Source organism: Homo sapiens, chromosome 15 (assembly GCF_000001405.40).
Source record: "Homo sapiens chromosome 15, GRCh38.p14 Primary Assembly".
Classification (NCBI taxonomy): Eukaryota; Metazoa; Chordata; class Mammalia; order Primates; family Hominidae; genus Homo; species Homo sapiens.
Genome location: NC_000015.10, coordinates 69,180,182 through 69,193,962, shown reverse-complemented (window position 1 = coordinate 69,193,962; position 13,781 = coordinate 69,180,182). Strand labels below are relative to the sequence as shown.

The 13,781-nt window shown below is 37.7% G+C and overlaps 1 protein-coding gene across 9 annotated transcripts in view; it reads right to left on the bottom strand.

Moving 5' to 3' along the window:
• Positions 1-13,781, bottom strand: part of GLCE (glucuronic acid epimerase) — a 111,573-nt gene that overhangs the window by 78,245 nt on the left and 19,547 nt on the right. The window contains exon 1 of one of the 9 annotated variants that reach the window (XM_047432379.1): positions 4,396-12,614. The exons of the other annotated variants lie outside the window; for them this stretch is intronic. The gene's annotated coding sequence lies outside the window, so the exon portion shown is untranslated. Of the gene's footprint in view, positions 1-4,395; positions 12,615-13,781 lie in introns of those variants that run through there. 9 annotated transcript variants of the gene reach the window in all.

The following is a 13,781-nucleotide window of genomic DNA, read 5'->3' as shown; positions in this document are numbered from 1 at the left end:
TATTACAACTCCTCCAAAAAAATAGATGGTCAGAGAAGTTTAAATAATTTAACTATGAAGGTAAAAAAGACACCTACTACAAAGGCAATATGTGATCTAGTTAATAATGGTTTGAGACTAATGCCCTAGGTAATAAAAGTGATCTTAGTCTGGAATATCCAGTGCAAAGCGTGTACTAGACTGAAGCAAACAAGGCATCTAGGGTACAAAATTTAAGGAGACACTTACTCTCCAGGTAGTACAAGCACAGGATTGACATCTGAGAGTCAGTGTCTCCTTAAATTTTGTACCTTAGGCGCCCCCCTTGCCTCACCCTCCTTGGAGCCCAGATCCACAGTGATACCTAGATGTTCATCAAAGGCATAGGAGATTTTTTGTGAATACAAAAATTTGAAACAAAATCTGAGCAAAATCTGAAGTTTGAGATCCTGATCACATGCATCATTATTATCTTCTGAATATAATAAGAAAAAAGTAAAGGCTTGACATTTTCACACATTACGAGGATGAAGTTGCTTCAGAAAAGGGAAACATTTATGGTATAAATGGAAAAGTATGCAATGTTTATAGGGAGATTTCCACTTCTGAATATGAAGGACAAAGAGGGTCTGGAAATATCCTTCTCCCTAACAACCAGAAATTGGATAAAATAGAGGAAACTATTTGCTGGCACTGAACAAAGGCAGCACAAGTCTATGATACCAGACTATTGCCCTAAAAGGGCAATAATAATAGGGCCCTCCAGCTTCTGCCTGGAGGTAATTTACAAACAATGGCGCAGGGAAAGGTAACCTCATAAGAACCTAGGAACATTGCTGAATTGAAAAGACATATATCAGAGTTTAGGGAGGCCAAAACAGCTAGAATTCAGGGGGAGGGGGAGGGGGCAGATGCCTGAGAGAAGAGATCAACACGGAAAGAGATCCCAAAAAATGCACAGCAGTCCTACTGGATCTTTGGCTGAATACAAGTTATACATGTGGAGGGTGAACCCCCAAGAGGCTGGGCAAAATAAAACATCAACCTTTAGAAAAAGAAAATTACCAGGAGTTGTAAGATAAACAACTGTCAGTGCTCACAAAAGGCCAGGAATTGTTAAAATTTGTATTACCCAAAGTGGTGAAATCTTGCTGAATAGCAGGGCAGCCATGAGTGACTCCAGAAGGACCATGCATTAGAAGTGAGGTTAAATTAGTCCTTAAGGCTACTCTAGATTCTCCCTGAAGCTGCATAAAAATAAGCTTTGAAAGGATCGAACTTATCTGTAAGTAACAGTGGCATACTAGAAAAAAACTAACATCCTTTAAAATAATGCAACCAAATCCAGCAAATAACATAAAATTCACAATAATGAGCATTCGATAAAAAACTATTAGACCTATCAAGAAGCAATAAAATGTGACTTGTGAACTAGAAAAACAGTCAATATTAACAGAACCAGAAATGAAAGAGATGATCAAATTAAGAGATGAGAACATTAAAACAGCTATAACAAATGTTTCCTCAACAGCATAAGAGAAAACCCAAACACAATGAGGAGACAAAGAAACATAAAAGAATCAAATAAAACTTCTACATATAAAAAAATACTTGAAATAAAAATATTATTATATAAGATTTGTAGCAGATTAGCCACTACAAAAGAAAGTATTAGTAAATTGAAGACACAGGAATAAAACTATCCAAAAATGAAGACAGAGAGAAACACACACACACACACATAACCCCTCCAAAAAATAAAGATGCCATGACCTCTGTAGCAATGTCGGCAATCAACATAACCATAATGAAAGCATGAAAACAAAAAGAGTAGGGCAATATTGGAAAAAATAGCTACAGAAATTTCCACTTTGTTGAAAACTACAAACCCACAGTTCCCAGAAGTTCAAGCAATATCTAGCAGGATAAACACAAACACACATTCACACATACATTGCTGAAAATAATGATAAAGAAAACATTTAAAGCAGCCAGAGGTAAAAAGGTACATTACATTCAATGGAGCAAAGATAAGTCATCACAGATTTCTCCTTGAAGCTATACAAGTCAGAAGACAATAAATTAAAATCTACAAAGTACAGAAAAGGAAAAAAACAAGGCAACCTAGTATGCAGGAAAAAGGTAACACAGCAGGCTCAGGAGTGCTATCCTTAGAAAGGCCTACTTGTAAGGTTAGGCCTTGGCTGGTGTCTAAGAACTTGAACTTCAAAAGGGTTCCTGACATTCCCTAACTAAAAAGGGTGTTTTACTGTGCCTGAAGTATTTATGCAAACAATATTCTGAACATCTGCTTTCCTTCTTGGAAACTGGAATTTTGCTACATGCTAGGCAGAGGACGCTTACCTGACCAGCTCCCAATAAAACCCTTGGGCACTGAGTCTCTAATGAGCTTCCTGTTCAACTGTATTCACATGTGTTGTCACAATTCATTGTTAAATTAAATGTATCCTGCATGATTCCACTGGGAGAAGATTCGTGTAAGCTTGTGCCTTGTTTCCTCCAGACTTCACCCATGAACCTTTCCCATTTGCTAATTTAGCTTTGTACCCTTCTGCTGTGATAAGTCATAACCATGAGTTTGACTATATGCTAAGTCCCGAGTCCTCCTAGCCAACCACCAAACCGGAGGTGATACACTACAATTTGGTACCCAGTAAAAATATCTTTCTGAAATGTTGATGTAATTTTTCAGACACATAAAAGCCGAGAAAATCTGTCACCAGTAGAACTGCACAATAAAAAATATTGAGAAAGATTTTTTGCAGAAGAAAAATGATACTAAACAAAAACATGGAACCATACAAAGACATGAGGTACAGTGGAGTAAATATGTGGGTAACTATAAAAGATATTTCTTATTTTTACAACTCTTTAAAATAAAATGGTTTAAAACAACCATAATTACAATCTACTGTGGGGTTTTTAACAAATACAGAAGTAAAATATAGAAGTTGTATAATATAATGTGTAGGAACACGGTGTAAGTTAAAGATATAGAATGTAATCCTAGGACAACCACTAAAAAAGAAAAGAGGCAAAGTTCCTAAGACAATAGTGCAAGTAAAATAGAACATTAAAAACTTCTCAATCCAAAAGAATGCCAAGAAAAGAGAGAAAAATGCAAAGAAGAAATGGGACAAATAGAAAACAAACAGCACAACAGTAGACAAAAGTCTAATCATACCAGTCATCATATTAAGACTAAATGGTCTAAACTCCTGATTAAAAGGGATAGAGATTGTCAGATTGTATTTAAAAAGAAGTAAAACCCAACTATATGCTGTCTACAAGAAACCCATTTTAAATATAAAAACACATAAAGGTTAAAGGATTGTTAACTGGGCTAACACTAATCAAAGGAGAGCTAGAGTATCTATATTAATAACAGATAAAGTATATTTTACAGTAAAGATTATTACTAAGAATAAAAAGAATAATTTCACAATGAGTAAAGGGATGAATTCATCAAGAAGAAAAATCCTAAGCTAGTAACAGAGCTTCAAAATGCCTAAAGCAAAACCTGATAAAATTACAAGCACAAACAGACAAATCCACAATTATTGTCAGAGATTTCAACAAATCTCTCAATAATGACACAACTAGTAGACAAAAACTTAGTAAGGACATAGTAAACTTGAACACCACTAGCAACCAACTTGATCTAATTAACATTTATAGAATCCACCACCAAATTACAGCAGAATACACATCTTTTCAAGTACACATGGAACAACACCCCAACTCAGACTATATTCTGAGCCATAAAACATTCTCACTAAGTTTCAAGGATTTCAAAGCATGCAAAGTATATTCTCTGATCACAATAAAATTATATTAGAAATTAAAATTAGAAAAACATCTAAAAAAAAATCTCCAAACATCTGGAAACTAAACAATATACTTCTGAATGTTAGAAAAGAAGGTCTCAAATCAGTGACCTAGGCTTTCACTTTAGGAAATTAGTTGGGGCCTACTGGAGGGTGGAGAGTGGGATGAGGGAGAGGATCAGGAAAACTAACTAAAGGGTGCTAGGCTTAATACCTGAGTGACAAAATAATCTGTACAACAAACCTCCATGACACAAGTTTACCTATATAACAAACCTGCACATGTACCCCTGAACTTAAAATAAAAGTTAAAAAAAAATTAGAAAGAGAAAAGCAAGCTAATCCTAAGCAGTAAGTGTGTCCTCCTCTTCTGAAGGGAAGTACACAGAAGGAGAAGAAAGAAAAGATAGATGAGCAGGAATGAAAAACATACACGTACAACAGAAAAGAAATAGAAAAAAGTCAACGAAACCAAAAGCTGGTTCTTTGAGATCAGTAAAATGCAAAATGGTAAAGCCACTTTGGAAGACAGTTTGGCAGTTTCTTACAAAACTAAATATACTCTTACCATATGATCCAGCAATCATGCTCCTTGGTAGTGACCCAAATGAGTCGAAAACGTATGTCCTTATGTTTATAGCAGTTTTATTCATAATTGCCCAAACTTGGAAGCCACCAATATGTCCTTCAGTAGGTGAATGGATAAATAAACCGTGGCACATCCAGACAATGGAATATGATTCAGCGCTAAAGAGAAATGAGCAATCATGCCATGCATGAAAAGACATGCAAGAACCTTAAACGTATATATTACTACGTGAAAGAAGCCAATCTGAAAAGGTGACATACTATATGATTTCAACTGTATGAAACTTTGAAAAAGGCAAAGACTATGGAGAGAGTGAAAAGATCAGTGGTTGCCAGGGGTTAACTGGGAGGTAGGGATGAACAGGTGGAGCACAGAGGATTTTTAGGAGAGTGGAACTATTTTGTATGATAATATGATAATGGTAGATATATGCCATTACACATTTGTCAAAACCCACAGAATGTACAACATCAAGAGTGAACCCCAATGTAAATTATGGACTTTGGGTGATAATGATACATCACTGTAGGTTCAGTTGTAACAAATATACCACTTCTGGTGTGAAATGTTGAAGTGGGAAAGGCTGGTGGGGGGGATATAAGAACTCTGTATTTTCCACTCAATTTTGCTGTGAACCTAAAACTGCTCTAAAAAAATAAAGTTTATTTAAAATTTTTTATTGAGTCAATGAAAGCAAATGCTGGCTCTCTGAGATCAATAAAATTAATAAATCACTAGCCAGACTAATGGAGGAGGGGGGTGGAGAGAAAATACATAAATTACCAATATCACAAGTGAGAGAGATAAATTAAAGACAGACATTAAAAGGGTAAGAGAACGTCATGAGCAACTTGATGTCAATAGATTTAACAACTTAGATGAAACAGACAAATTCCATGAAAGACAAATTATAAAGCTCACTCAAGAAGAAACAGATAACCTGAATAACCTTACATATATTAAAGGAATTGAAATTACAGTTAAAAACCACCCCACAAAGAAAACTTCCAGGTCCAGCTGACTTCACTGGTCAATTCTAACAAACATTTAAGGAAGAAATAATACTAATTCTAAAAGGCTTATCCAGAAAATTGAAGAAGAGAGAACACTTCTCAAGTCATTCTAAAAGGGCACCATGACCCTGTATCAAAACCAAACTAAGATATTATAAGAAAACTATAGACCAATTTTCCTATGAATATAGATGTAAAAATACTTAATATGACATAAATCAAATCCAACAATATGTAAAAAGTACAATACCTCATGACCAAGTTGTGTTTTTTTGTTTTGTTTTGTTTTTTGTTTTTGTTTTGAGACGGAGTCTCACTCTGTCGCCCAAGCTGGAGTGCAGTGGCAATCTTGGCAACCTCCACCTCCCAGTTCAAGTGATTCTCTGCCTCAGACTCCTGGGTAGCTAGGACTACAGGCATGCACCACCAGGCCCAGCTAATTTTTTTGTTGTTGTTGTTTTTTGTTTTTTGAGATGGAGTCTCGCTCTGTCACCCAGGCTGGAGTGCAGTGGGGCGAGCTCTGATCACTACAACCTCTGCCTCCCAGGTTGAAGTGATTCTCCTGCCTCAGCCTCCTGAGTAGCTGGGACTACAGGTGCGTGCCACCATGCCTGGCTAATTTTTTGTATTTTTAGTAGAGACGGGGTTTCACCATGTTGGCCAAGCTGGTCTCGAACTCCTGACTTCAAGCAATCCACCCGCCTGGGCCTCCCAAAGTGCTGAGATTGCACAGGTGAGCCACCATGGCCGGCCCCAAGTAGTGTTGATATGAAAAAAAGCAAGGTTGGTTTAACATTTGAGAATCAATTGATGTAAACAAAACCAAACGAAAACCTTTTATATAGGCTTCTATTCCTTAATGTAGTACACATTTTCATTTTCTTATTCTTTAAATTGTACATTCATGTTAATGTTTTTCTTCATCTGCAAAATGATAATAACATCTTCAAAGAGTTGTATAATTAAATGAAAGCAGGTATGAAAAATGCCCACTGAGGGTAAAAGGGAAGGAGAAAGCAGGATTTCTCCATTATAGTAATTTTGTTTACTTAATCTCTATGTTTCAATGTTTCCTTTTGTAAAATGGGGACAATAATACTCTCTCACCAGGTTGAAGGGAGAATTAAATGATACAAATGTTAAATGTTTGGTATGCTTGTACATAGTAACACAGTCAACATACATTAGTATCCTTTTCCTTTCAAGGCTTATATATATTAATAGTATCTCTTATGTAAAAGAAAAAAAATATGGTAAGATAAGTCTTTTCATTTAGAAAAAGCTATGGCCCCAAGTCTAACATGACAGATAACAGTGACTAGCTCAAAACAAAAAGGTGAATGTCAACAATTTAAGAAGCATATATACCCAGTTTCAAACCAATAGTAATGAGATACAGAAACTATAGCTAATACAGTTTATTAACATACTCAGACTCACCATGAACATTAACCTAAGACATTGAATGGATATATTAGTTTTTTATAAGTCAAATTCTTTAGTGTCATCTTAATTTCATTCTACTCCAAATATGAAGTCTTGCTCTTGAGGGTTCTCAGCAATGAAATGTGCTATCTCTTTTGGTAATAACAACCAAACTTCACCCAATGTGAAACCCTGGGGTTCTTCAAAAGAATGATATTCCAAGAAAGGAAAAAAAAAGTGTATATGAGAAAACAGTCAATAATTTGAATAAATGTATCTGTCATACCTTGTAAGCTACACAAAGCCCTAAAGCTTATAATACCTAGTTGATACCTTCAAAAACAGCTTTAGCCAGAAAAGGGGCAAAAATTTAAGTTAAAAAAATTCTAGGGAATACTTGAGAAGTAGCCATTGGATATACTAACTAGTAGCTAACTATTCATTAAGCATCTACTTTCAAAAAAGCTGCACACATCCTTATCTTCTTCTGATACACCTTAGATACTCAGAAACTAAGATCAACTATTTATTTTTTAGCATCAGAATCTTCTGTGTTATTCAGGTTCCTCTCTTTAACTGCCTACAGTTTACTATTAGAATATAATAATTCAGGCAATTTAAAATTGTTTGCTACTCTATATTTATCAGATTTCTTTCATATTAGCTTATTTAACTCTGCAGCATTATGATACATATACATTGGTTTTCATTCATGGTTCCTGGCTCCTAACCCCTATAGCCCTTGTTTGTCTTTTGTTATAATGCTGAGGGTGTGAGGCCTCAGAGGCAGGCCTCTGACCTTCTCCTCTTCTCCTTTTATCGGCTCTATAGCAGGACTTTAATCTACCCAGCCTCTCTGACAGTGGGTCTTAAGACCCTCCAGAGAGGGTCCTGCCTCATACCCTGGAGGAAGGAATGTTGATGTCATGAGGCTTCTTTAAAAACCCAAGAAAACTGGTTCAGAGAGCTTCTGGATAGCTGAACATACGGAGGTTCCCAGGGGGTAGCATACCCAGGGAGGACATGAAAGCTCCGCACCCCTTCCCCCATACTTCACCCTATGCATCGCTTCATCTGTATCCTCTACATATATCCTTTATAATAAACCACTAAAGGTAAGCAAGTATTTCCCTGAGTTCTGTGCACCACTCCAGCAAATTAATTGAGCCCAAAGAGGAAGTGGGCCCAAAGAGGAACCCAACTTGAAACCAGTTGGTCAGAAGTTCCAGAGGCCCAGATTTGCAACTGGTGTCTGAAGGATGGGGTGGCCCGGACTTGTGACTGGTATCTTAAGGATAGGTTGGCATGTTCTTAAATTCTCCAGGTAGACAGTGCCAGAATTGAACTGGAGAATACCCAGCTGATGTGCACTGCTTGGTGTGTAGGGAAAAACCCCCATACCTTTGGTCACAGAAGTCTTCTTCTGTATTGATGATGATTTTTGTGGTGGTGTGAGAGTAGAAAAAAACACGGTTTGAGAGTTTTCGCTACACTAACTCCAATAAAAACAACTTGATGAGAAGACAGGTAGTTCTCTCCAGGCTTACAGAGAAGCAAGCAGAAGGTCTGAGATGAAGTTATCTGCCCATGATCACACAGATCTGGAAAGCAGTGGAGCTAGAATTAATTAGAAACTTAATCACAACCCAGTCCACTTTCTACTTTACCACAACGCTTCAGGCAACTTTTGACAGAGAGAAAGGAGATACAAATCAAATTACTAAAGTTTCTATGTAAATGATAGCTAAGTCAATTACTGGAGGTTGAAAGAGGTTAAAAACTATTGGTTATAAGGAGGTACAGATTCAAATTTGCCAACTATCTTCAATCTTTTCACTATTCCAGCATTTTTCCCTTTTTGCAGAAAGGAATGCTTAATAATTGCTCTACTCTCTATATGACAGAAAGCTCTGAACATGGCAATTAAACCAATAAAGTATGATGAAGCATATTTTAACTCACTATAAAAATGTAACAGATAAGAATGAATAAAGAACCTCAGAGCATTAGAACACAACCAAGGCAAACACTGTAAGCAGACATTGTGACTGTGTTCTCCAATATCCACGCCACAACTCTGAGTGGCAAAAACTGGGAGAACTAACTTTAGCTCAATGGTGGATCCATCCTCACTGCCAGAAACTGACTCAGATATGAGAAGGAATCATGTCAATCAGATAGGAGAAGAGGTAGAAGAGGTTTGCTGGTGGCCTCTGGTTAAGGTTGTCCTTTCTGTTAGGAGGAAGCCAGAATTTTTCCTCCTTATAGAACATATAGCTCCTTCCTGGTACCCACTGTATGAAGAGAATCTGAGAATCCCACCCTGGAATAAAGCCAGCACTGTGGACAGCAGAGTGGAACAATGGAAATGATCTGAATCTTTGGTGTCTTCATTAAGGTACTAACTGACTAATCCTAAAGACTGCCTTTCCTCTGGACTTCCAGTTACATTAAGCTAATAAATTTCTTCATTGTGTAAGGTTGTTTGAATTGGGCTTTCTGATATCTAAAGTTGAAAGACACCTAACTGAAACATATTAGTGATATAATACATGTAGCTGATGAACAACAAAAGGTGCTTAAGAACCAACATGGTCTCTTGGATTTCTAAAAATATTTTAAGAACACTGTTATTCTATTAGTGGGTAATTTAAATGTAGTAATATAAACTAGGTGAAAAAATTCTAGAAATACTTTGGGAAAGAGATGAAAGAGCTCTATGCTTATTTTTTATAATTAATATTTTTCTCTGATTTGGGTATTCCTGAGAGACTTGGTGGGAGGTAGGATTCATAAGGGAGGAGAGATGTCATTATTCCGCATTGCATGCCCAGAGCTACAACTAAATTGAAGAAGTGGCTGGGAAGCTGTAACAAAAATCATTATTAATGGTTCAGGATCAGCATTAAGCCATGTCCTACTATTTCAATATTGGGATTGATGTTCATTCTTATGAAAAATTCCTGGATGTTAAAATATAGAGAATGCCTATAAATTCTACATGATACTAAAAGGGATGTGACTACGAAGACATCAAACTGGAATAAACCTTAAATTCTAAACTGCACTAGAGTTGTCGCTATTCTCCAACATCAAATAATGTACCTTTTGTGACTCTGTTTCTGGTGTTTCCTCTATTTGGGATGTTCTTCACTGGTTCTACTAGTTAAAGTCATTCTTGCTCTAACTACAACTTGGTTCTCTGTTATCGGCATTTCCCCTGAAGCTTTCTCAAGTGTTATGTGTTTTCCCTCCCAACTCCTCATACCACAGGGCCTGGATGTGAAGGTAGGTCTTCTTGATCCTACTGACCTAAAGGAAGAAACTGAAGTAAAATTAATATAGAGAATTTATTTGAGCCAAGGTTGAGACCTGCAGCCTAGGACACATTTCCAAGTTGCCTTGGGGAGTGCCCCATTCAGCCTTTGTTACCAGCAGGTTTTTAAAGGCAAAGGGGGACATGGAGCAGACTGATACACAATTGTTTGACAGGAATTCTCATTGGTTTACAGAAATAGCATTGATTAGTGATTGACTATATATTGTCGAACTATAGGGTATGAGTTATGGCGTCTAGCACATGGCATTTTATGGCTACCTGGTATCAGTCTAGAGCCCACACAGCATGTGGCTTCCAGAGGTAATTATTTCATTTCAGTGCCTCTCTAGGCCTGATAATGGTGGCTCAGTTCCTCAGACTAAAAGCTTCTATTCTTTCTCAATCCTAGTTGCCCATTCCAGACAATTCTTCCTAACTCTTCCCTAAAAACATCCAAACTGAAATCTCATCATCAGACTGTAGCCGTTCTTTACTGCAGTTATCAAGCTCTCCACTTTATTTCTTGAAGATTTTAGCTGCTTGCTCATTACACCATCATTATTTTCATAATGCTTGGGAATCTCATCATCCACACAATCCTTTCCCAATTCTTGCTTGTCAGTTTCTTATTATCAGAAAGGAAGTTCTGCCCTTCAGTAGATCTAGGATCTTCCACTGATCCTTCCCTCAACCCTATTTTATACTCATTCCCATACAGTCAAACCTTAAACCTTCTCAATTTTAATAAATGCAACCCTTCCAAAATGCCATTTTTTGTTTTGTTTTGTTCTGAGACAGGGTCTCACCCTGTCGCCCAGGCTGGAGTGCAGTGGTGCAATCACAGCTCACTGGACTCAAGTGATCCTCCCACCTCAGCCTCCTGAGTAGCTGGGACTACAGGCACGCACCACCACACCCGACTAATTTTTGTATTTTTTTGTAGAGACGGGGTTTCACCATGTTGGCCAGGCTGGTCTCAATCTCCTGACCTCAAGTGATCCACCTGCCTCAGCCTCCCGAAGTGCTAGGATTACACACATGAGGCATGATGCCCAGCCTCGAAATACCATTTTTAAGTATCACACTCTGATACCAGCTCACTACCTCTAATATCCTAACTCCAAAAAATCTGCCAACCCAACAGACCTGTAGTCCACTAATCTGATGACTTCTGCACTTCCTTTTACCTTCCCATGTCCTCAATCCCCTTCTTACCCAAATTAAATCCATATTCAATCATTTACTTCCTTCCTTCCTTTGCATACATGCTTAACTACTTGTCTTCCTTCTGACTATGTCAATCTTGCTTGGCTAGTTGTTACCAATGCAATTTTCTGCCTATTCTATGTTGATACCTACAGAGCTGCATGTGGCTGGATGGACTCTCTCTCTCTCTCTCTCTCTTTCAGCGCAATTTTCTGCCTATTCTGTGTTGATACCTACACAGCTGCATGTGGCTGGATGGACATGCACTCTCTCTCTCTCTCTCTCACACACACACACACACACACACACACACAAATACACGATGTCTGATAAATTGGTTTCTCTTTAAATTCGTGGCCAGGAGCCTCAAATGAGTTTCCTTAATGCTGACTGACAATTATACCTTATTTTCCTGATTCATCCATTCTGCCACTCTCTTACATAACTATTTCAACTTTTTGCTCCTCAATCTTCCATCACCTTCCCTCTCATCCTCACTTTTATCTTATGACCCTGTGTCCTATTTTACTAATAAAATACTAGAAGCAATAAAAGAACTTCTACAAACTCTCAAACCACATCTACCTAACTACGTCTGTGCCCACATATTCTGATTCCTCTTTCATTACTAGCGTGAACTATTTCTGCTCTACCCAAGACCCAACCTTTTTACTTACACACTAGATCCCCATTAACCACCACTACCTCTTCGTCTATCCCATCAAATTTTCCATTTTTTTCTCAGCCTCCTACAAACACGTCAAAACAAAAACAAAAAACAAAAAAACTCTTTGAACATCTCTCTTAAGTTACTATTCTATTTCTCTCCCTCCCTCTTCAGCAAAATTCCTCAGAAAAATGATTCTTTCTGCATGTCTCCAATTTCTCACTTCCCTTTCTCTTGAATCCATTCCAATGAGTCTATTTCCCCACCACTCTATCAAACCTGCTCTTGTCAGAATCACTAATGAATTCCACATTGCAAACTAGAATGACCAATTCAATTACCAGTTCTCTTTACTGGAACTATGAGCAGCATCTGACAAGGGGTTCATTACTCCCTCCTCTCAAAACACTTTCTTCATTGGCTTCCAAGATTCCATGTTCTCCTGGTTTTCCTCTTGCCTCAGTGATTTCTCCTTCTAAGTTTCCTTTGCTAGTTCTTCATTTCCCAAACTTTAAATGTTGTAGTGCTCCAAATCTCTGTCCTGGACCTTCGCCTCTTTATGCTTACTCCCTTAGTGAAGTCATCTGATCTGATTTCTTTAAATAGCATCTATACATAATTCCCAAACTTAAACCTCTAGCCCATTCCTTTCCTTTGAACTCTAGACTCAGATAGTTAGCAGTCATCTCACTTAGAATACCTAAGATATATCTTAAATTTACTTTGTCCAAGATCCAACTTCTCTCCTCCAAAATCTTCCATCATAGTTTTACCCATAACAGCAAATGGGTAACTAGCCTTCTAGGTGCTCAGACCACAAACTTTGTATCACCCTTAACCTCTGTGCCTCCCTCTTTTTTCTCTCCCTGCTTCCCAGTCCCCCAAATCCTGTTGACCTCAAAATGTCAATTACTCACCACCACCACTACTACCATTTTGGTCCAAGCCATCACCTCTCACCTGAATTACTGCAACAGTCTCCTAGGTGGTTTCACTGCTTCTGCCCTTGTTCTCCTTTAGCCTACTCTCAACAGTTGCCAGACTGACTCTTTAAAAGTCCAATCATGTCACTATTCTGTTCCAACTCATCCAATGTCTTTCTATACCACGTATCACTTAGTCTAAAAGCTGAAGTCCTTAAAATGGTCTATAAGACCTTGCTTGACCTGGCAGCACAACCAGCCCATCACCAGTGCCATCATTACCTTTCTGACTTCATCCTATATTACCCAGTCCTTTACTCAACTCCAATGACAAGCTTCTTCAAATGTAAATACCGCAGGCATGCTCCAACCTCAGAGACTTGGCATTTGCTATTCCCTGGGCCTAGAATGATTTGTATTTGTGTCATATCTCCTTCACTGACTGTCTTCATGTTATTTAAAAGTCACCTTATCAGTGAATTTTCCTGGCCATCCTTTAGAGAAGTGTAACTCCTCCCATACTTTATTCCCCCTTCCCTGGTTTATTTTTCCTCTTTACTACTTATCTTCTAACATGCTGTAAACTTACATTTTTTTTAATTCACTCATCTAAAATGTATGTCTTCTCAGGGTAGGGGTAGGGATTTTTGTCTGTTTTGTTCACTGAGGTACTTACAGAGCCTAGAGCAGTGCCTGGCATAAAATGGTCAAATATTTGATAAATGAATAAAATCATAGCCCTCCTTCAAGGATGATGCCAAATTATCCACAGTATTAAGACTATACTAAAAGGGACCACTAAAAAAATCTTT